The sequence below is a fragment of the Homo sapiens genome, chromosome 10 (assembly GCF_000001405.40).
Source record: "Homo sapiens chromosome 10, GRCh38.p14 Primary Assembly".
Classification (NCBI taxonomy): Eukaryota; Metazoa; Chordata; class Mammalia; order Primates; family Hominidae; genus Homo; species Homo sapiens.
The window spans coordinates 45,893,341-45,917,613 of NC_000010.11; the positions used below are offsets into that span (position 1 = coordinate 45,893,341).

At 37.3% G+C, this 24,273-nt stretch overlaps 2 pseudogenes across 3 annotated transcripts in view; both read right to left on the reverse strand.

The window, feature by feature from the left end:
- PARGP1-AGAP4 (PARGP1-AGAP4 readthrough) overlaps positions 1–24,273 on the reverse strand; it is a 146,781-nt pseudogene that overhangs the window by 67,747 nt on the left and 54,761 nt on the right. For both annotated transcript variants that reach the window (NR_160518.1, NR_160519.1), the window contains exons 2-5: positions 22,739–22,831; positions 17,209–17,366; positions 7,007–7,086; positions 2,844–2,904 (exon numbers count right to left, since the gene is read on the reverse strand). The product of NR_160518.1 is annotated as a PARGP1-AGAP4 readthrough, transcript variant 1 (transcript). The remainder of the gene's footprint in view (positions 1–2,843; positions 2,905–7,006; positions 7,087–17,208; positions 17,367–22,738; positions 22,832–24,273) is intronic.
- PARGP1 (PARG pseudogene 1) overlaps positions 1–24,273 on the reverse strand; it is a 117,594-nt pseudogene that overhangs the window by 38,506 nt on the left and 54,815 nt on the right. The window contains exons 6-9 of the transcript NR_029388.2: positions 22,739–22,831; positions 17,209–17,366; positions 7,007–7,086; positions 2,844–2,904 (exon numbers count right to left, since the gene is read on the reverse strand). The product of NR_029388.2 is annotated as a PARG pseudogene 1 (transcript). The remainder of the gene's footprint in view (positions 1–2,843; positions 2,905–7,006; positions 7,087–17,208; positions 17,367–22,738; positions 22,832–24,273) is intronic.

The window sequence follows — 24,273 nt, forward strand, 5'->3', positions numbered from 1 at the left end:
AGTACTGAGAATTGTTTGATTCCTTCCTGGTTTCAATGAGTTTAAATACATTTCTGGCAAAACTCCAGCCCAACAGGCTGATAGCTTTAACTCAGAAGGTAATTCTGCACAGGTTCTGTCTAAGAGCCTTATTTGTATTAACTCATTGAATCCTCTCAACAACCCTATTACTATCTCCTTTTATAGACGGGGAAACAAAGCACAGAACATCTAAGTAAGCTAACCAAGACTAGTGAAATAAAGCAGCAGAGATGTGAAACTAGGTAGACTCACTCAAGCTCTGAATCAGTATGCTACACTTTTAGAAAAATTACTTTCCCAGTCTCTTGTAGAAAACAGTACGGTAAGTTTGATATATTTTTTTAACTTCCTTTTTTTGGTCCTACTTTCCTAGCCATTTTATTCAGAGGAAGACCCCTGTAAGCATACTACTAAAAAGATAAAGAAGCATAATCTAAAAATCTCTGGGCTGTCAGTCAGGACTTCAGAATGGGAATTCCATCTGTTGTCAACTATTCTCCATGACTGAAGCTAGAAACTTTATAGTATAGCTCTTAATAAAATCACGAAATTGCTAGAAACTTTTTCTTGGTTTTGTTTTGAAGCATTTTCTAACTTCCCAGTAGGTCATCCTCTACACCCCCGCCCCAGGAGTCAGAGACGTAGGTGATTCTGGCTCTCTGTGATTAAGCCTGGCTAAAGTATTTGCTGATAATCAAAGGGTTAACTATAACATGCCAGAAACATGGAATTCAGGAAAGCCTCTAAGTTCCTGGACCCATTTAGCCCCTTACGCTTGGGAACACCAACAATCCTTATCTTTTCTTCATTCTCCCTCTTTAAGTGAATGCATGTTTCTGGTTCTGTGGAGTCTGGGAGACTGGTTTTAATTATATTCTCCAACTCACTTATAAAGCAACTAAAACAAAAAAGAGATCAATGAAATAAAAATAAGTCAAATTCTGCCTATCAAAATTAAGGGGACAATCTTCGTCTCACTTAGAGGCAAAGTTACTGTGTCTCATTGACACAGCAGCCTTGCCAGTCTCTGCATTTTGACCTGTCCCTTCTCTCCCACATGGTGGTATACAAATGGGTGTTCTTTCACATTAGTGCCAAATGAATATCAGATGCAAAGTAGAGATCCTGGATGACTTAAAAATAAGCCCTCAGATTGATCTATAAAATCTACACCAAAGTAACAGGAACAAAACATATGCATTCCTATTAGAGATTAATAGAAGAGTGAAGAAAAACAATCCTCTGCACCATAGAGATGACACAGCAGAATGGTACTTTTAATTCCAGGTACTATATTTTAAGAGGGCCCAATGAATGGGAGTATGTTAAGAGCAGAGATAAAGGGTTTAGAATCCATATTACATGTGAAATAGAAGAAACGAATCAGTTTAGTATGAACTTGTATGCACTGTTAGAGAGGGAAGTAGGTTAAGAAGCCATTAAGATACATGAAGGAGGGTCAAATGTTAAAGAAAACTAGAAATTCAGATTTATTTATGTAGCTCCAGAAGGAAGAACCAGGAATGGTGGAGAATGAATGTAGAAAACATTTTTAGTGAATGAAAGCATGAGATGATAACACAAGCAGCCACCAATGGAACAAACTGATACGAAACAGCGGATCTGCCATCACTGAAGCTATCCAGTCTTCTGTCTGTTGCAGGTATTACAGAGCTGATCAAGAGTTTTAGCAGGCGGCTGGGGTTCCTTTCAGATCTAACATGCCATGATGCCAAAATGCTGTACATGTTCTCATCTTTTTCTGGCTCATTTTTTTTTCTCTCTTCAGGTCGCTTAACCTTTTATCTACTTCCCTCTATTAATAATCATCTAAACCACGCACTCAGTCTTCTGAAGTAAATTTCTTTATCTTTCACTTCACAAATAAACATCTTTGATGGATGAAAACACTGCAGGAAAGCCACCTAAGCAGATATGACTTCTCAAGTTAACGTTTTTTTAAGTGATTTCCATTCATCACTAATTCCAAACAAAACAATTACAAACTATCATAAAATTATTAGAAAGTGAAAATGGGAGGCATTGGTTAAATATGTATTTAGTATGCTTCATCATGTCCTCAAACATATTTAAAAAGTTAATCTACACTTCTTTAAGTGTCCTGGGGGACTTGCTTTAGATTAAGAAATATGTTAACTATTTCAGGACCCTTCTTTAAGTATATTGGGAGACTTGCTTTAGATTAAGAAATATGTTAACTATTTCAGGACACTAAGGACTTTACAAATCTGAATTAGCTCATATTGGCTGCTATCTCCTCAATATTTTCTGATAAATAAGAAACAAACAGTAAATAGCAACTTCCACAAAATCTACCAGTAGTACACAAGGGCAGCCAAACTTCAAAATTCTTGCCACTCGACGAACTCTAGATGGTTACTGTTTACTAAAATGTAAATAATAAAAAGACTTTTCTCAATCTTGTCCTCCAGAAAGAAAAGCCATAAAGTTCAAACACTAACCAAAAAAAAAGGGTAAGGAGAAACATTTAAATATTGGTGTTCCTTTTATTAGTGTCTTCACATACAACACTTCTCAATTTTAAACAGGACTTTGTTTCAGAAGACAAAACCAAGACAAAATGGTAGAAATCAAAGGGTTATAGACTTTGATTTAAAAGGCATAACCTTTTCAAACATGAGAGCTATCAATGAATCATTTATGAGAAGAAATTCCCTGGCACTAGGATAAATAGAGGTTGGAAAACCATCTTTCTAGGTGCTATAAAATAGAATCCTCTCATGGTGCAAGAGTCCTTCTATTTCTAGGGGGTCTAGGATTATTTTTATTATTGTTGTTACCTTTCCCATTCTGGAAAATCTTCAAGACTCTGTCTTGTAAATGTCACCAACCCAGTAGGTTCTACAGAAGCAATAAAAGAAAAACATACCCAAAATAAGTTTCAATTTTGAAAAGATTATACACACACACACACACACACACACACACACACATACACACACACACTCGGTAAAAGAATAGGTCTAACATTGGCTATAAAACTAACCAGGAAATACAAAGCCTAGCATTGGAAAATAACAGAATATTGATTGAAAATAATATCCTTACAGTAGAAACTCCTTCTATAAAATAATAAGACTTCACTAAACGAAACTATACAAATAACAGCACAACAGTAGGATTTGAGTGCTGGTATTTTTGGTAAAGTTTTTGAAGCTGAATACACTTTTTTTTAAAAAAAAAAGAGCATTGAAAAAAAGGATGTATAACTGGTACAGCTAATGCAATAAAGACAAAATTGAATTCAAATTTGTAGACTCCTTTACAAAGAAAGGACTTAACCCTACATTCAAAGACTGGAGAATAAATACACATTTATGTACTATATGGTAAAGTGAAATGTCACAGATTTAAAAAGGAAATCATTTGCACATCCTCTGGAGTTAGTACAGCTAAGTCTCAGGCTTAAATAGTGGGCAATCACTCTACTTGTTAGTAGCAGTCGTAGCCAGAGGAGAAATTACTGGTTCTAAGAGTTTACAGAACAAAGATGACATATTTTTCAAGGAGCAATAAATTTGGGAGGATCTAAATGAAGTACTATTAATGTAGTCAATAATTTTAGAGGATGAGATCCTTTTCTAGTCAGATTTATTTATTTATTTTTTCAAGCTAGTAGCAAAAGAAACAAATAAATCAGCTGGCCAGAAGTAATTTGTCTGATTCAAATCAAAGAACAAACTAAAAAGGCCATGCCGTTTCTGTTTTCTTGAATACAAAAAAGCTCTTAAGGAAAGAGAGAGATGTCAGGAACTATTAGTGATGACAGTGTATAACCCAGTGAAAGCCTGGCCATCATTTCATTCCTGTGCACAATTCCACATTTCCTTGTTCTCAGTCAAAAGCAGGAACCACTCAAAAACCATATGGAGCAGTTGCAGTAGAAAACAAATTTTTTTGTTAAGATGGGTCTTACGTCTTTTAGATACCTAACTTTAAGATAAATGGATAACATATTTAAAACTCACAAGTAAGTGGTCAAACAACTCAAACACTAGTGAAGCAATTCCATGAATATAATAGAAAACATCTCTCTTGTCATTCGGTAACTTAGCAGAGAAGAACATCAAATGTCCTTAATATATACTAAGAGATGCTAAAAGAAATTCATAAACACTGCTGGCAAAGCAAGAAAAGGCAGAAGAACATGGTTTCTTAGATTAACAAAAATGCCTTGAGAGCACGTCTGTTAGCGTTTTTTCGTAACAAGGCAACTTTCATCTCAGAATAGGATACTTTGATTAATCAAATACTTCCCATCATAAAATCACAATATATACTATATACAGGTCATAAATTTTCAAAAACCTGATCTATAAGACACTTTATCTAAAACTATATAGAAAGTAATTTAATTCAGAAGGCTTTTTAAAATACTTCAGTCTCAAGATCTTCATCAGATATAAAATACACATGTTTAACAACACTGAAAAGTTGGTCCTGATGGAATTCTAGTTTATCAATTCTAAAAGGCATGTTTTTTCACATGTTACATTTCTGAAACTGGAATACATCTTTTATAATGGAGGTATCTTACCATAGGTGTAGACTAGAGGTGAATTTTCCCAGAGAAGATGTGCATCTGCTTCTGCTGTCGTCTGGGAACACTATCAGCCTGATACCATCTGAATTAATCCTTTGTGGCAGGCCTTTGTGGACCACACTGGTGGTAAGGCTGCACACTCAAAGCTTAGGGCTTGTGGTTCAAATTCTCAGAGAAATGTTTTTTTCCTTTCTCTATTTAGTGTCAAGGTTGAGACTTGCACGTTTCTTTATGGTCCCTTTCCTGGAAGGTCAAGTTAATTTCTCATTTATCCTTAGGTGTACCAGCCTTGTGGGTCATGTCTCCTACTAAACTCCCTGTCCTGAGTGTTTTTTCCTTCTTAGAGGTATATAATATAAGAGCATTTTTAAAAAGTCATCTATGACATCTCAGATTCGATGAAATATGGTACCTTAAATAAGCTTCTGAAGTCTATTGAGTAGGCTCCAGAACTTCTACACAACCACTCATTATACTGCAACCTCTTTTATTCTCTTTAGTATTTCCTCTTCAAACCATTAGCTTTACACACTGAAGACCAAGAGCAATGTTGTACTGTATTTCTACAAAGAACTTAATTAACATGTACAGTGAAAAAGTCAGAAAATAAAATGTCTAGTTATAATTTATTTCTTCAAATTCCCAATACTTATAATGGCATATACATTTCCAGCTGAAAAAACAAACTTTAAGCTTTTTCCTCAAAGTATCTGAAATCCTAAAATTTAGAAAGCCAAGTTAGTTTTTAGAGAAGACATACATGATTTGACTCCCAGGACAAAAAAGTAAACTCTGTACTACTTAGTTATAATAATTCTACTTAAAACGGCAACTCAAAGTACTGTAAAAACAAAACAAAAAAAAACAATAGTAATAATTCTAATTAGACCTAGAATGGCCAAAAAAAGCAGTCATTTATTTATTTTTTTAGACAGAGTCTTGCTCTGTCGCCCAGGCTAGAGTGCAGTGGCACAATCTCAGCTCACTGCAACCTCCACCTCCTGGGTTCAAGTGATTCTTGTGCCTCAACCTCCCGAGTAGCTGGGATTACACTCTCCCGCCACCGCGCCTGGCTAATTTTTGTATTTTTTAGTAGAAATGGGGTTTCACCATCTTGGCCACGCTGGTCTGGAACTCCTGACCTCGTGATCCACCCACCTTGGCCTCCCAAAGTGCTGGGATTACAGGCGTGAGCCACCGTGCCTCGCCTTACGTAGTCATCTTTTTAACAAGTCATTACAAATTCTAATTTGATTTTGTGTCTCATAGGTCCAAATGATTCTGCATTTTAATATTTCATTCAGTACAGGGCACAAAACTGAAATTCAATAAGCTATGAGGTAATTCCATATCAGAGAAGCATGTAATTTTCCCTTAAATATCAAAATCCTGATAATTGATTTCATTCTAAAAATTTAACAATGTCCAATAGCAATACATTCAAGGGGGAAGATGCCAAGCACATTGTAATGCAAGAGTAAAAGAAGGATATGAGAAAAATGACCTTAAAATGATTCAAAGACATATTTTAAGACAATCCTATGACCCAGAACTGAAAAAAAGCCATTTCACTTGACCAGGTTGACCTTACCTACTTAGCACAAAGGAACTTTTGAGGTGTTCTGGTTTACATCCACTTGTAGGAAAGGCTACCCATTGATAATAGCTTACATTTATTAAGCATGTATCTTCTTGTTTAATATCTATAACTACCCTGTAAGGTAATGGCCGTTATTATATTATTTCATAGGTGATAAAACTGAAGCTTAGAGGTGTCAAGAAACTTGACCATGGTCATTCAGCTTCTGAGATAAGAGTGGCAATACCAATCTATTATCAGCTGGTCATTACCAGTATTTGTTGGACATTTACTATTACTGTGTTAGCTGCTATCAGTTTTTGGGGAAGCAAGAATGTTAAGGTTCAATAGAGGAAGATGGAGATATAAAACTCAGTACAAAACAGTTTTATAAGAACTCCACAAAGGGCTTAGGGGGGCACAAAAGAGAGGAATGGGTAGAAAAGCAATGCGTTAGTTGACTTATGCAAATAAACTAGTGAATACTTCTTTAAATAAAGAGCATCCAAAATTTATTTCCTGGTCAATATACTTTCTCTGGTTTTTATTCATGAAAATCTTTTGATGTATATTACAGATTTCAGAGAATATGGGTCCGATTTCAGAGTATGTAAACCCCGCCCCCCCTACATTTAGCACACGTTTATGCTTATACACAACATAAGCATAAAATCTAGGTTATATTGTCGCATCATTACTAGTGTTTCAATGTGGTTGGGACAGGAAGGTTTACGTTAAACACAAAATGTTCCTCACATGTCACTTGACTTGAACTGTTCCCATCAGCAAGAAAAATTACAGTAAGAATGAAAGGAATTTACTTTTCTCTGTGACTCTTCTAAAGTAGCAGAAGAGCGTTTTAAGTTTCTCCGGTTTCCTTGATGAACGTCCCTCAAACAATCTAAAAGAGATAAAAAATAAAAGAGAATGGAAGATAAGTTAAAATGCCTTAATGATTCACAAAACTACATCCATATTGCTACCAAGTAATACAAAGAAATAATTCTTCCAGAAGACAATTCTGTAATGATAAGAACTGGAAAATTGGTTTAGATTCAAATGGCATCTGGAAAGAACTGAAACCAACTAGAACCAGACTTCTTCAAAGCTGCTCAAATCAGACATCATTTACTACCAACCACATTTCTCCAACCTATCTTCCACCACAGAGAAGGCACCATCCAGCCCTCCCAGTCAACTGGGGTCAGTCAGTCAGTGCACAGCTACTTTCTCAATGGCTAATAACATTTATAATTCATAATGTTACTACGTAGTTTGATAAGTAACAAAAACGGTATCAAAAAAAATCCTTATCTGAGTGTTTGTGAGGAAATGAGAGTGGAGGGGAATGGGGGTAGGGACACAGGCAGGTATAACAAGATATCAGGGCTCAACAATCCTTGTTAAACAACTAGATTCTTTTATGGACTGAATGTTTGTGACCTCTCAAAATTTATATGTTGAATCCTTAATCCCTAATATAGCTAAATTTGGAGATAGGGCCTGTGAGCAGGTAGTAACAGTTAAATGAGGTCATAGGGGTGGGACTCTAATCTGATAGAACTGGTGTCATTTTAAAAAGCAAGGTGAGACTACAGTACTCTCCCTCTGCCATGTGAGGACAAGATGCCAGCCAACCTATAAGCCAGGAAGAAAGCCCTCATCAGGAACCAAAGCAGCAGCACCCTGATCTGCAGCTTCTAGCCTCCAGAACCATGAGAAAATAAATTTCTGTTGTCTAAGCCACCCAGTTCTATGGTATTTTATTATGGCAGCCCAAGCTGACTAATAGAGATCCTTTGCATGGTAACCACAACAGTGCCTACCCTGTGTCATCTAGTTTTCAGCAACCCGGACTTGGATTACTTAATTCCGTTTTCTTTGAAATGATGTGGCATTGTTATTGGTAACATACAATTCAGTTTATTCTGAGGAAAGAAAAGCAGGGCTTTAAAAGCATTATGACCTGAGTAAGTAGCTCACTGAAAGATTTCTAACACAAAAGCATGCTTTTGAGCATAAGATCTAGCTTTCCAAAGGCATTTAAAAATTATAGAGACTCAGTGGCTATGAATGATGAGGTACTCTTCATCTGCCTCTAGTCATGTGCTCTGACTTTAAAACCAGAGACCCTTCAAGTAAAGTCCATGTTAATAAGTGCTGAAATGGGTAATTATTTTTCATGATTACAACAGCAAGCTTATGTAACTACGCTGAGAGGGAAAAGTTAATTCCATGAGAAAATCCTATTGAGCGACTGAAATAAATTAGGAAAAGGAAAGGAAATGCACATTTCAAATGGTTCCGTTTTCAATGATCTGAAATCTGTATTCAGGGTCAATTTCTGGAAAAACAATTTATATGAATATTTATTTCCTAAAAAGAATACTAATGTATGCTAGTATTTTAACCAAATCTAAAATCAGATCTCTTTTTAAAAATAGTTTAAGACAGCCTGTGTGATAATTTTTATTTAAAGAACCTATCTTTCTAAAATATTTAATACACATACTCTTATAATCCAGTTGCCAGCTGAAAGAAAGGCTCTTTGAGGGTGCAGGTTTCAGCATGGCTTCTTCTAGAATAGAGTTTATTTAAGTCAAAATGAAGAAGCCACATGGCAGTTTAATTAAACATCCTATATCAATAAATATGATTTACTAAATGAATACCTAAGGCTCCACTGCAAAATCTCTTTCTAGGCTCACTATGCACTAGAGGAAAGCAATATGAATACAAAAGTAGCCACCACCTTTTCCTAGAGATGAATTGATGTACTATACAATTCAATTAAAGGATAAAAGTTCTTCTTCAATAGAACTATTGCATAGTGAGGAGAAAATGGCTGTTGCTCTTAAGAAATAATTCTCTAAAACATAGGAAAAGTGTCCCTAGCTTCCATATGCGGTCATCTGTATAAAATCACATAAAAGGTCACATACTTCACAACCATGATGACAAATTATTAACTTTAGGAGCCTCGTGAGACTGCAGATTTATTATCCTGGCGAGACAGACTTTCCTGGAAGATTTTATGGCTGTTATTATCACCCACTACAAATGAACACCACTGTTTATTTTGTAGGTACAAATCTTAAAGGTACAAATCAAGCAGAATCTCAATGTACTCTGTTTATTCACTGCTCCAATCCTAACTTCAAATCACTGTGTAACCAAATACACTTTCCCATCTTCCTGATAGAGCAGGGGGAAGTGGGGGAAGTGTCGTGGTGGGTGTCGGGGGTAAGAAGTGGAGATAAAGTCAGAGGAGATGAAGCAGGTTTAAAATCCTTGTGACAATTCTCAGACTTGGCTGTTGTGAAATTTTAAAGTTGTATGCACAGCCACTCAAATAAAATGAATTATCCTGATATGGAAGCAAGTAAAAATAACATAAATAGACAGGCAAACAGCATGAATGAAAGTCATCCCAGGAGTGATATACAATCTGAGGGACAGCTTTTGGGAATGAGGAGGAAAACAAAAGGACTGAGGCTGGAGCCCAAGAAACGGGTGAAGGGGGAGAAGAAAGATGGGGCAGGGAAGATAGAGAGAAGAGAAAGGCTGATAGAAATGGGGTTAGAGAAAGAGAGCATGAGAGACAGACACACAGAGAGAAAGACATACACAAACAGGCTCAGAGAAAGTGAGGCCTTCTCATAATCATTAAGCATCATTCCCCCGCCCCCACTTTTTTTGTAAACTTCCCAACACCTTTCTTTTTTAATTTAGATTTTTCAAGTCCTGGGTATGTATATTTGAAGGCATATTTTAAGTCAGCAGTGTGCACACAAACCAGGCCACAATAACTCCTCTACATGTAGGGAGGACATTTGGGCATTTAATTGAAAGATAATTACAGATTATTAAAGAAATCAAACACAAAAAGCCAGTCAGGAAATCTTACTTTGTTCTAAACAAAACTGTTGGTATTTTCAAAGACAGACATCAGTCAAAGGTCAGACACTTATTAGCTGGTGTTTTTCTTTGCATACTTATAAGGAGAAACAGAGTTGAATAAAATCTTTCCCTGAATGGAATACTGATAACATTACTGGAATTTTATTCTAGGTATATCCATCCCCACCCCCACCATGACCCACTATGCCATTTCAAGTTAAGTAATAATCCCATTAGTATACAGTAAATCAAACCCAAAGCACTACAACCTCCATTTTAAAATACGAGCAAGTGATAGTCCGGAACCCAGCCAGAAAGTCATTCCTGGCTCTTCTGTGAGGCACTCTGCCATATGGCCCCAGCAGCATTTTCAATACAGGGAAGAGGCAGATGTAAAAACCTCCTGGGCTGACCACTGCTGAGACCCACAATTTATCTCTGACCATCTAGTTTCCATGCAAACTCAGAAGCATCGATGCTAATCACATTGGAAGCCTTTATATGAATGTTTAGGACCTGAAAGGCAAGCAGGGAAAAAGGTCAGGGGTATTTACCATAACTAAGCAGGGCTTAAAGAACACAGCAATAAATAAAAAAGGGAAGACATATTCAATTTATTGACTTCAGCCTCCCACCACATACTCTTACCATTTTTCTTATTCAACTAGCTAGCCATACCTCTCTTTTGAGATTAAATACACTCTCACACACACAACTCCCCACTGCTAGAAACTATAATCATAAGTAGAAACTATGCATAAAAGGAAATAACACAATAAAATGCTACATAATCAGCTTAACAAATGGCTCATCAGATTACGTACTGGATCTTTCAGAAGCCACATAAAAGTGGGGGGACTTTCAGTTGTTTGGCATTTCCGGAGCACTCAGAGCATTTTGCTCATGACAGGCTTTGAGATATAATAAAAGAACACTGAGTTTGAGTAGAAGACAGTGATCAAGTTCCAGTTGTGCTAACAATTCATTTATTCTCCCTGAACCTTATCAGTAGAGAGGCTTCCCTACCTAGAAAATTCCATAGACAGAATCAAAGCAAGCCATCAAAAGACAGTATCAATGGTGATGTACAGTTGTTGTTCCTATTATTTGCTAGCTTAGGCTCATTAAAACACACACCATCTCACAGTGAAAGGCAAGTGCAGACATCCTGGCTGCTTAGGATTCTCTACAACATTGTGGAGACTAACACTAGGTTACCTGCCTTAATTCATTTTTCATGTTCTGCTATCCAAAAGAACATCCATCACCTAGGAAGACAAGAATATGCCTGATTTCAAATCTTCAACGGAACTACTTAAACTCTTATTTGGTGAGAATGCTATTTGCTGCAAGCTTAAATCCGTCACGGTCACTCTGGACTTAAAAATGGCTTTAATTCATTTAATAGATCAATAATTATTTCTAAAAATAGTTCTAATTTTTGACTAGTCATGAGGTAAGAATTATTAATTCAGTTCATTCAAAGGGAGACTGTGTAGCAGAATGGTTAAGGGACACAGCTTCTCAAAGGAGACTACATCCTGCGTTTGAATCTCAAGTCTACTAGTTACTGTGTTAACTTGGTGAAGTAACCTCCCCTCTCTAAACTTCCACCTCATTTTAAAAATGAGTGTAACAACAATTCCTAATCAATATTCTAATTCATATGGTTAATGTGACAAGTAAATGAATTTCAGATAATGCTGAGTAAGCTAAGGTACTTGCGCTAAAATAAGGCATTACATAATGCCCAGGCCAAAAAAATCAACATTCATTTACATAAAGCAGTTGCATTGTTCTAATTAATATTCCCTTCATTTAAAAAAATGGCCCAGCCTTGATTCCCATCAAGCCCAACATGCTGACTTTCAGCGCTAACCAGCTCAGTCTTCAGGATAAATGACCATGTACAATGAAAAAGATAAACCTGCCATCGCCAAGAAGCCCCAGGCTTCCCCACTCAGAAGGTTGGCTGAAAAACAAAGGTCTTTTAAAATTAAAATATATAATAAAATTGGCCGGGTGCGGTGGCTGATGCCTGTAATCCCAGCACTTTGGGAGGCCAAGGCTGGTGGATCACGAGTTCAGGAGACTGAGGCCATCCTGGCTAACACAGTGAAATCCTGTCTCTAATAAAAACACAAAAAATTAGCCGGGCGTGGTGGTGGGTGCCTGTAGTCCCAGCTACTAGGGAGGCTGAGGCAGGAGAATGGTGTGAACCCGGGAGGTGGAGCTTGCAGTGAGCCGAGATGGCGCCACTGCACTCCAGCCTGGGCGACAGAGCGAGACTCTGTCCCAAAAAAAACAAAAACAAAAACAAAAAAGATATATATATGAATGTAAATTCTGGTAATTGGTTACAGGAAATTGGAAGTCACCAAAGCCAAGCCTTCCCAAGACATCTTGACCTCTGCCTGTCAGCCATCCAGCAGCGATGGGTCTTTGCTCCCTACAGAACTCTGTGGATTCTATTTCTTCCATAAGAAATAAAATGCTATATGCTGAATAAGTAAAATAGGGTGAAGTAGACACAATGACAATGTGTCTATGGAGGAGTAATTGGAAAGAAGCTATCCACACTAGCTTTTTTGGAAAAGCCTCAAAAAATCTGTGAAATTCCACCCTCAAAATCAAATTACAAAAATTGTCCACTCTTATTAACTTTGTGTTCAGCTTGATTTCTGACAACTGACTTGTTCTTCCCTGAACTATTTTTTCTTCTGCACGTAAAAGTAATATATGGGCTGGGCGCAGTGGCTCACGCCTGTGAAACAGGTTTTTTATATAACTGCAATTGCAGATTCCAATGCTCTGTGTTTTCTCTCAATTCTACCCCAATTACTAACGAAATCAGAAGTAAAAGCTATGTTTGATTATATGTGGCTTAAAAATAAAACATCTCGTAATTCCTAAGACTAAGACATAATATGAAAAGTAAAAGACAAGAGACTGAGAACAAAGGGTCTAAATTATAGTCTTAGCACTCTGCCACTAACCAGCTCCATTACTCAAAACAAGTCACTTAATTCTCAAATATTTCATCTGTAAAATTTCTTTTCATTCATTCAAGAAGCATTTATTGAAGGCCTACAATGCATGAGACTTTGTGAAAATAACAAAGACAGTTAAGATCCCTGTCCCACTGAAATGATTAAATAAGCAATTATGAAGTAGTCTAGGTAGTACAGTAGGAAAAGTAGGGGACAGTAAAGGCACACATCTGGCTGTACAAACCTAAGGAGTACCTTGGATGCCTCTCTCTGCCCATCTACCAATCCTGTCCATCACCATCACTCTGGCTACCCCTTCAAATGTCTCCACACCTCTGTCCCCTCCCCTACACTATCCCAGCTACCATCCTCTTTCCCGGTGCATTGCAGTAGCCTCTCCAATTGGGTAAACTCATGTACTCTGGCCCCTCTCTGCTTGATTCCCACATTACAGCCAAAATAAACTTTTGAAAATGTAAATCTGAACACATGTGCTAGTCTCCCTCTACCCACATATCTAATCCTCCAATGACTTCCTGTTGTTTTCAGATGGCCTAGTGAGGCACAGCATGGTCCAGCCTCCAGCTACTTCTGTAGCCTCTACCATCTCCATGCTCCTTCTCACTCTCTGTGCTGCAACCACACTGTCTTCTCTCAGTCTCTGGACATGTCAGGTCCTTCTTGCAACAGTGACTTTACACATACTTTTCCCCTGCCTAGAATGCAACCACCTCTCCTTCTCCTTGGCAAAACTCTTATTCACCCTTTTGTACTTAATTCAAAAGTTGCGCTGGGCATGGTGACATGTACCTGTAGTCCTAGTTACTTTAGAGACTGAGGTGGGAGGATCTCTTGAGCCCAGGAATTTGAGACCAGCCTGGGCAACATAATGAGACCCAGTCTCAAAACAACAACAGCAAGAAAAGTTATTTCCTTGAGGAAAGTTTCCTTTATTAAATTATATCTTTCTTTAATAAAACGTCATGGTGCTGTGCACCTCTCCAGAGGTACACACAGGCTAGCATAGGAACCTGGAGTAGCAAACCTATCCTAGCAGAATCTGAGACACCAGAAAAACTGATACGTGAACTGAGTACTGGAGGAGGAATAAAAGCCACGTGGAAAAGAGAAGGGCATCTGTGACGTGAGGTTTGAAAATGAGACAATACTACATAACAGTAAGAACTCAGAAACTGGCTTCTCCTTTCTCTGTAACCTTATGGCACTTAATACACTGTGGGGAATATTGCAGTTGCTCATTGTACATTTGAACTAAACATTGACTAAATACCAGTATCTAAAAACAAACTTACCTACTGTACAAACTTGAAAAATAGATTAAAAATATGCCCCTTGCAACTAATATTTATGTAACCAAGGAGCATATTATATATTAAAAAAAAACTATCCTGTTTGCTAACACTAGGATTTTAAAGAAATTTTCTTAGATAACATTATTTTTCATTCTTTGCTGCCCCTTTCTTAGTGTTGATAGTAGAGGGTAACCATATATAATAACAAATTATCATCAATATTTTAATGTTTGAAGGTCATAAAAATATAACCCAAGAATTATGACAGTCTAAGAGCAGCTTATATTCAAGTCATCTGCTATACTTTCATCTGCTAAACACACAATAAATGCACCGAAATGTCTAGTTTTTAAGTTTAATTAAAAATTTACATTAGGAACTAACCAGCTGAATTCTAGAATTCTTCTCATCTTAAGAGAGTAAAACATTCTCCAATTTTAAAAGGCTAAAAAATATGGTCTTCGGGGCTGACACTCTGATATTGGAGAGAATTGTGAATTCATTTCTCTGCTGCCATGTGGAGTTATAAGGAATGCTGCCCACATAAAGTAAGTTGCATTAGAAACAATGACACTCTAGCAGCAATGAGCACACCTATCACCTAGATGTTGGTCTCTAAATACCGTTGTACAATAAAAGAGACCAGGAATCCTTGAGAAAATGGTTCATTCCAGGATTGAGGCATGGAAAATGTAAGATGAATCTGGAACAATGTATGATTCCAGAATGAAAGTTAATGCTCAAAAAAAGGATAGGGCTTATCAAAAGAACATAGGAGTCAACCTAAAGGAGCCCTAATGGCCAAAGCTAGAATAATTAAAGCAGTAAAATAAATAATACTGTTTAATTTAAACTGACACAACAAAATAAATATCCATGAGTCCATTCTGATATTTTAAAAACGGGGGAAAAGGGATAGCTCTTCCTTACAATGGAATTTCAATTAGCAAATGTAGAAGAGGGAAGCAGAAAATTCACAACAGGCAAACACTATGGTAATAATCATTGCAGACAAGATGCACCAATGGATGCCAAAATTAGTAGGGATAAATGTGAGGCAAAACAACATTTGCATAGTGTTTTATCTTTTGGAAAATATTTATTAATCACAAAAGGAAATATGGTAACTTTATAGTGGAAAAAGTCAGCAGACACTACCTTTGCCAACTGATCACCAGTAATAAGAAGTATCATGATCCCACTGATATGGTGCACTGAGAAGGACACAGGATCATTTCTGTGGTATTCTCCCAAAAATGCATGACCTCATTCCAATCCTGAAAAAACATCAGCCAAACCCAGACTGAGAATATTCTCCAAAATAACTGTGATGAGTACTCTTCAAAACTGTCAAGATCACGAAAGAAAAGAAAAAACAAGGAACATGTTGGAGGAGACTAGGTAATTAAATGTAACTGGGATGCTGGGTAGGATCCTGGAACAGAAAAAGGATACTAGAAAAACTGGTAGAATCAGACTGGGTGCAGTGGCTCACACCTGTAATCCCAGCACTTTGGGAGATAGAAGCAGGCAGATCACCTGGGGTCAGGAGTTCGACACCAGCCTGGCCAACATGGTGAAACCCCGTCTCTACTAAAAATACAAAAATTAGCCAGGTGTGGTGGCATGCACCTGTAAGCCCAGCTACTCAGGAGGCTGAGAAAGGAGAATCGCTTGAACCCGGGAGGTGGAGGTTTCAGTTGGCCAAGATTGCGCCACTGCACTCCAGCCTGGGCAACAGAGTGAAGCTCCGTCTTAAAATTAAAAAAAAAAAAAAAAAAAAAAAAGTGATGCTACTGATCATTCTACTTCAGAGACAAAAGCAGTATGGCAAACAAAAGTGGGTTTTGTTTGTGTATCCGCTCTATGACTTTATCTCCTACTCTGCATACTGCCCTACCCTCAGAGGCAGGCTCTGGGTGACCAGAGGCAGTGAAGGGCATTACACACAGCCTGCTGGGAAAGGGGCACAGATTATAGCAATTTTCTCAAGTCTCACACTGAAATCAGGGAAGAAAACTCACATATTCTATTCATGGGTCCTATAAAGATAATTCTCAAGTGAAGAAAGAAACAGAGGTGGGGATATGGGAGTAGTGAGTAGGAGGGAAGAACAAACATTAATTTGCCAAGAAGATTCTTTAAAATATTTTTGTTTGTGTAGAAGATAGAGAAAGTAGTCACCTGGGAAAATGGCTGGAATCTAAAACTTTATCAATACCTTCACACTGTATTAATTTAGTCGAGCAGTTTGAACATTCTTTTGTTTTTCTTTTAAAAATATTACACTGATAAATTAACCATGTCTATAAAGGGTCAAAATCACCTTTCACTTTTCATCAAAACAATTACACTTTTCAAGTCTCATAAGACAGCTCATGACTTTAGACTCTCATTTTATAAGACCTTTGTAGAAAGGAGGACTTTTCCTCTACCTTTCACAGTATTTCAGCATTAAGGAATATAAGCACAACAAAAGTTCTCGTGAATAATCAAACTGAAGAGGCATGTGGAGTCCAGAGAACTGGGGAATCATCTGAGAGGACAGAAAGAACATGGGCCCTGGAGTAAGACAGGCCTGAAATAAAATCTCAGTTCTGTGACTTACTAGCTCCTGGATCCTAATCAAGTTCTTTTAACCTCAATGAACTTTAATCACCTTGCCTGCAAAATGGTGAAAATGTCACTTAAGTACTGTAAAAATTAAATAAGACAACTGCATATAAAATGCTTGGCCTATGGAATTCATTCAAGAAATATTATTAGTTCCTTCCACCTTTGTCTTTTTCATTGTTAAAGAGGTGTTTTCTGAAAACATACCGATTGAAGTTAATGTCTGGGTAACTAGAATACTCCGATTTCATCTGAGCATTTCATCGTGGAAATGTGCAGAAGAAAGCATTAGCTAAAAGACTGGCAATCTGTTCCTGCGACATTGTGATGGAATGATTCATCTTCTGTTTCAGGAGTGGTATTGGCTGATAAAAGAAACAAAAAAATACAGACGAGAAGAGCAATAATTAGTTTAGCAATTTCAAAAGCAGAGGCACCAAATTGCATTTGCTAAATTAAGGCAGAAATAATTTCAGGCCATTCTTGAATCCTTAAATCAGCAATATTGTAAAAGTCAAGGGCTGTTTATCAGGGATGATTCAGAAAATGCACTTATTTGACAAACTGCAGATTTCTAATCAATAATAATGATAGTGAAGAGAATATAAAACATTACTTATTAGTGAAAAACAAGATTGCTTCAGCAAGTAAATAAAAACACATTGCCCATGTAATGAAAAATTAGAACAAAAGATGAAACAAAAATATATAACATTGTTTAAGCTAAATTTTGTTCTTATTTATATTAAAAATTATTGGCTAGAATAATCTTTCTTAGTCCTCAATAAAATGATCTAAGATAATTCAACAAATAAGTCTTAACCCTCCCTCTTATTCCAAATTACACTTCATACTCACAATTTCTTTATAAGAATCAAATCTAACTTCATTAAAGCTATTAATAGAACATGTAAAAACCACCATACGGACATGTATAAGTTGTAAAAAGATAAGACATTTCTTACATAACCAAACATTCCAAGTCATGGAAGATGTAAGACATTTTTCCTTCAAATCTTTTATGTCTAAAATGTCTTCTAGTTATGCCACCAAATTCACTTACCTTTTATTTCAGTATAATCCACACGACCTGAGTATTGTGTTCAGTGGGTTTTATTCTGTTTGTAAACCAAAAATAAAGTTCCAAGCCCCCCAACCAACTGAATGAACCCCTCCTCTCGACCAAGGGGATTCCAAAGTTAACCTGAAACACTAGTCCACACCATGATAGGAAGTGTGGGTCTGACACGCCTCATTATATGCTCCTCACTTTAGAATTCAGCACAAGTGACCAGCATTAACAAGAAAACAGAGACCTTAAAACTGATGAAACAAATCTTTTTATAATAATAAGACTCAACTCCAGCCTGACTCGAGTATAGCATCACATGACAGATAGCATACCTTGAAAGAATTGAAGTATTTTACCCCAAAATATATTTCTTTGACATATTTTGAAATAGCCCTGCAAAGCTGTCTGTTGGGAAAATGTACGTTCTGTAAAGAATCTCTATTCCTTTCCAGGTGAGAATTAAGAAAGGGTGTGGTACCTTTTTAGATCTGATAAAAGCTCTGAAGCCTGTTACAAGGTTTCATCCACATGATAAAACCTTGGTCTCCACAAACCCTTATCTTAACCCAGATATTCCTTTCTATTGATTCCAGGTCTTTGACTCTTCCAACCAATTGCCAATCAGAAAATCTTTGAATCTACCTAAGACCTGTAAGCCCCCCTTACATGTATTGATTGATGTCTTATGTCTCCCTAAAATGTATAAAGCCAAGCCTGACCATCTTGGGCACATGTTCTCAGATCTCCTGGGGCTGTGTTACAGGCCACTGGTTACTCCCATTTGGCTCAAAATAAATCTCTTCAAATATTTTACAGAGTTTGACTCTTTTTGTTAACATATTTTAAATGTTAAACTATGTTTTTAAAGACATGCTGATAAAATCAAAGACCAACTACCAGTTTATCCTTCTGCTGTTAAGTTTCAAAATGCTCCCACAGAATATTTAGAGATGCATTTCATTCTCCCCTTCAGTAAGACCCAGAACTAAGAGTTTCGGGTAACTGCACTCATCTCAAAATGGCATGCCTAGAGCAAACTGTCCTGATCATACCTCAGGAGTGGACACCCAGAATGAACCTGAGGAAAGGGCAGGCAAGACAAACCAAAACTGCGGTGCTGAATAATGAATGCTTTTCTAAGTACAGAAGTACACACCACTGCTAGAATAAGAGTTTGCCAGAAAAAAGAACAGATTAAACTTGTAATTCAACTATTTCTCTTGGAAAAATTCAAAGGTAAACAAATAAGCAAAAGGTAAAGAATGTATTTTCACTATGTTTACAAAATTCTCTCCCCTTCAGGTCTTAGCAATCACCATTTCTGAGAAAAATAGAGAGCTCATATTGATCTCCATTTTCCATCCTGTGCATTTGTTCACAACCAAGCAACGAGTTTAGAAAAGGTGACAGTGCATCAATGGCTTCAAGCAAAGTGCTGCTTGGTTTTAGGAAGAAATGAGTTTTTAACTACCATTTACCAAGTTATTCAGAAAAATGATTTTAAAAATTAATGGTAAATATTTCAGGCTTAATGGACTTCAAACACAAACATTTCTTGTCTCCCAAATAAACAAATAGTATAATTTTAAATAGAGTTAATGATTTCTCCTCTCTTGGTGAGGAGAAATGCCTAAAAACTCATTATTTGGAGAAATCAGGAGATGTAAATCTTACTGTCAAGCAATCGGCTCAACAAAATAAGAGGCTGGTTACTGTGAACCAAGATATTTCAAAAAGTTCCTGACCAAATTTGTTTCCTTTAATTTTATTTTGATAAATCTAAAATTTACCCTTTAGATTTGGCCTAGAGTACTTCAATGTGATAAATTATTAAACACCAACATATACAATTTAACTTGCCACAAGACGTATTTTGATCTCAAATAAAAATCTTAACTTTCACAGCAGAGATTGACTTTTCAATAGGGGGCAAAGCACAGAATTTCCATGCCTACCCGTTGATATGCTAATGGAGAAGAAAGTCACTGAGAGAAGCCAGGACAAAAAGCTGAGGACTCAGGGGTCTGATTTTGGTTCCAAGGGACTTGTTATAGCTTACAAAGTCAGATACCTTTGAACAAAAATTTCTCATTAAATAAAATATGGAAACTCTCATATGCACGAGGGGAAGAGGATTAAATGGCCCACACCCAAAGGCTACCTACTACCTATTATTGATTATGAACTACATATTGAATTCAAAAAGCATATAATTAAGCACCATGCAAACCAGGGACACAAAGAGGATCTCCCTTTAAGGAGACTATAATCCAGTGGCAAGAGATATATAATGACAAGAATTACAAAACAATGATTTGAGTGCTTCAAGAGGGATGAACCTTGCCTGGGAGGCAGGGAAGGCTTCACAGGGGAAGTAACAGACAGGCATACCTAGGAGGTAGGGAGAGAATTTACTAAGTAAGGAGAGAAAGGAAAAAGAACAAACATGGAATATGATCAAGCAAATAACTTCCAACAGAAACAAGAAGATATGTTTTAAAATATATTTCCCCTGCCCAATAGTAAAACTTATTTCAGGCACAATGCATTACTGAGGTGAAATTAAAGTTACATAAAATTGAAAACATCACACTGGAAAACATTTCATGGGTCTCAACTGAAGGTGGCATAGTCCAGGAAGGCATTTGGACATGTATGGGTTGTTTTCTGGTTGCCCCAGTGACCCTATTTGTGGTTTTTGGGGTGTCCTAATGACATATTGCAATGCATGGGACCATTATACACATTCAGAAATTGTTCCACCCAAATGTCCATAGGGCCCCTGTGGAGTAAAATGCTAGCAGAACCCTGGCTAGCAGCCATGCAGCAAGAGGCGTTGGCCCTAGAAATAAAAGACAAAGGCAAATTCAAGCACGGTTGTGAGAAACACAGGAATAAAATTATGAACAAAACAAACCCTGTGGAGGTTTGAAAATACGTTCACAAATTCTTTGATGCTCCTCTCTTTAAGAGGTGGAGTCTTGGGCACGGTGGCTCATGCCTGTAATTTCAGCACCATGGGAGGCAAAGGCGGGCGGATCACATGAGGTCAGGAGTTCGAGACCAGCCTGGCCAAAATGGTGAAACTCCGTCTCTGCTAAAAATACAAAAAAATTAGCCGAGTGTAGTGGCACATGCCTGTAGTCTCGGCTACTCAGGAGGCTGAGGCAGGAAAATCACTTGAACCCAGGAGGCAGAGGTTGCAGTGAGCCAAGATCATGCCACTGCATTCCAGCCTGGGGGACAAGGATGAAATTCAGTCTCAAAAAAAAAAAAAAAAAAAAAAAACAGGTGGTCTAATACCCCTCCCCCTGGGTACTGGCTAGCTTCCAATGAACAGAAAAACAGCAGAAGTGATGCTAGGTACCTTGAGAAAAATAGGTCATAGAAGACACTGCAGCTTCCTTGCTCTCTCCCTTGGATTGCTTGCTCTGGGGAAGTTAGCTATTATGTCATAAGGACAATCAATCAGCCTATAGAGAGACCCATGTCAGGGCGTTCTGCCAACAGCTCTGTAAGTAAGCCAACTTAGAGGTGTGTCCTTCAGCCCCAGGCAAGCCTTCAGATGACTGAAACCCTGGCTGACATCCTCACCGCAACCACGAGAGAAATCCTGATCCACAACCACTCAGTCAGCTAATCTGCTCCCAAAGTCAACAGAAGCTGTGAGATAATACATGTTTATTGTTTTAAGCCATTAATTTTGACATAATTTGTTATGTAGCAATATATAATTAATGTACTCCAAACAAAATAAAATACAGGATTCTTTATTTTTAAAAGTTAAGGCTGGCACAGTGGCTCACACCTGTAATCCCAGCACTTTGGGAGGCCAAGGCATCATCTGAGGTCAGGAGTTTGAGACGAGCCTGGCAAACATGCTGAATCCTCGTCTCTACTAAAAGTACAAAAAGTAGCCAGGTGTGGTGGCGCACGCCTGTAATCCCAGCTACTTGGGAAGTTGAGGCACAAGAATTGCTTGAACCCAGGAGGCAGAGGTTGCAGGGAGCTGGGATTTGTGCCATTGCACTCCAAAAAAAGAAACTTAGCCGGGTATGGTGGTACATGCCTATAATCCCAGCTACTTGGGTGGCTGAGGCAGGAGAATTGCTTGAATCCAGGAGGTGGAGGATGCAGTGAGCCAAGATTATGCCACTGCACTCCAGCCTGGGTGACAGAGCAAGACTCTGTCTCAAAAAAAGTTAAGAAAGTATCATTAACTCATTTGTTGTAGAATTTGGGGGAGGGTGAGGAAGGAGTGGGTCGTATTAAGCCATTTTGAAAATACGCTATTCCAAATCCACTAGTATGTTTTGAAATAATGAATACTTTTTTAAGTTAGAGGTTATTTAAACAAAGAGAGAAAAAAGTCAAAGTAAACAAGCTTCAACAGTGTAAACAGAAGCTGAGGAATGGAATGCTGCATTTTTAATGTCCTTTTGTAGTACTCTCTACCCTCTAACCTTTTCCTTAATACAGCAAAATTACTATACTCTTTGGCAAAAACTGTTTCCCATTTCTTCTCTTCTCTTCTCTTCCTCTCTCTCTCTCTCTCTCTCTGTCTCTCTGTCTCTCTCTCTCTCTCTGTGACCCTGGCCATTCAAGTTTAAGGGAAATTCAATTGTCAGTCTCAGGGAAGCTACTGAGGAAGCTACATCCACTAACCTGGGTGCAAATATTTGGCAGACAGAGTGCAATTTTCACCATATCAGGCAAGATGGACTGATATAAATGTTGAGCTTCTGTTTCTTCAAGTACCTGAAAACCAATAAAATAAGTTATGTGAATAACAATAACCAGTAAATATAATAACCAATGAATATGTTTGTTATGAAATTAAATTACATATCTGCTTTTCATGGAACCCCATAAAGTGGCACCCTATCAGCATCACCAAACACATGTACAAATGCATCAACAGGTGTATACAAATAAACTTACAAATTCATTTCCAAATGTATATTTGGCATTAAGGCAATTCACCTTAATGCCCTCTGAAAAAAATGTAAGTATCCCAAATATCAAATATCCCTCACACAACATTCACAATAAAGTAAAAACACTTGCAAATGGAAAACAGTACATTCTGCCCTTGGTTATATCAACTAGAAACTGCTAGACACCAGGGACTTTCTTAGAAGCCCCCAAGGACCCATCTAGTTTCAATGGTCTACAATTGAAGAAATCTCCATAAAAGCCACATTAATTACTTCAGAGCATACTCTATGGGTCAAATCTAATCTGTTGGGTAATAAACAATGAGGTTTCTGATGGTCTTAGAATTTCTCTTTTCCAGACACCCTTGGAAAGTGAAAACCACAATTCCCATATAAAAATTTGAAGCACAACAAAGATGCCATGCATGGTCCATTTTTGTCTTTTATAAAATTTCCCCTCTCTATAACACCTTTTAATCTAATGTCTTTCTAAACATCAGGGTATTTCTTTAAAAGTACTGGAAATGACAACACTCTTAATTTAGAGATACTACATATACAGTCAGGACTGAAGTAAATACTTTATCTACTTGAAATCACATTTTAACTAGAAGAGGCCTCAGTTATAATCTAGTCTGAGCTTGTCACTATTACAGAGAAAACTGAGGCCAAGGAGGTTACCTGATCATCCTACATTGAGGTCAATTAAAACCAAATCAGAACAAGAACCTAAGTGTTCTGGTCTCTATGCCACAGCTCTTCCTACTTCCCTATGTGACCAATGTTTGGAATCGATGAAGAAACAGACTCTTGACAAAAATCAGGAACTAAGCTGAAATAAAGGTAAAACCATTTGTTTATCTGCAGCCGGACAGGGTATGTGTGTAAATAGAAAAAGTAACAAAGAATATTTGCCCTGATTTTGCCAGAAAATTCTAACACTAAGAATTTTCTTTACACCAAAACTCTAAAACCCAACCTATGTTTACTTCTCTTTTAAAATTAAGATAATGAGTAAACACATTCAGAATGAACAGAAGGATATTTGTAATTCAGAGAGTTGGAAATTCAATTAGTCATAAGCATACAGAAAATTAAACAAAAGACAATTATTAATTCTGGAGAAAAAGAGTTGTTTAAGAGAGGAAAAGCAATCACAGCCCATATATGAATAGTGTTTATACTATCCAACTGAAAAAAGACTACTGATGTAATTGAAATGAATATGAAAACTATAGTGAGAAAATGCAGAGGTAGAAATGA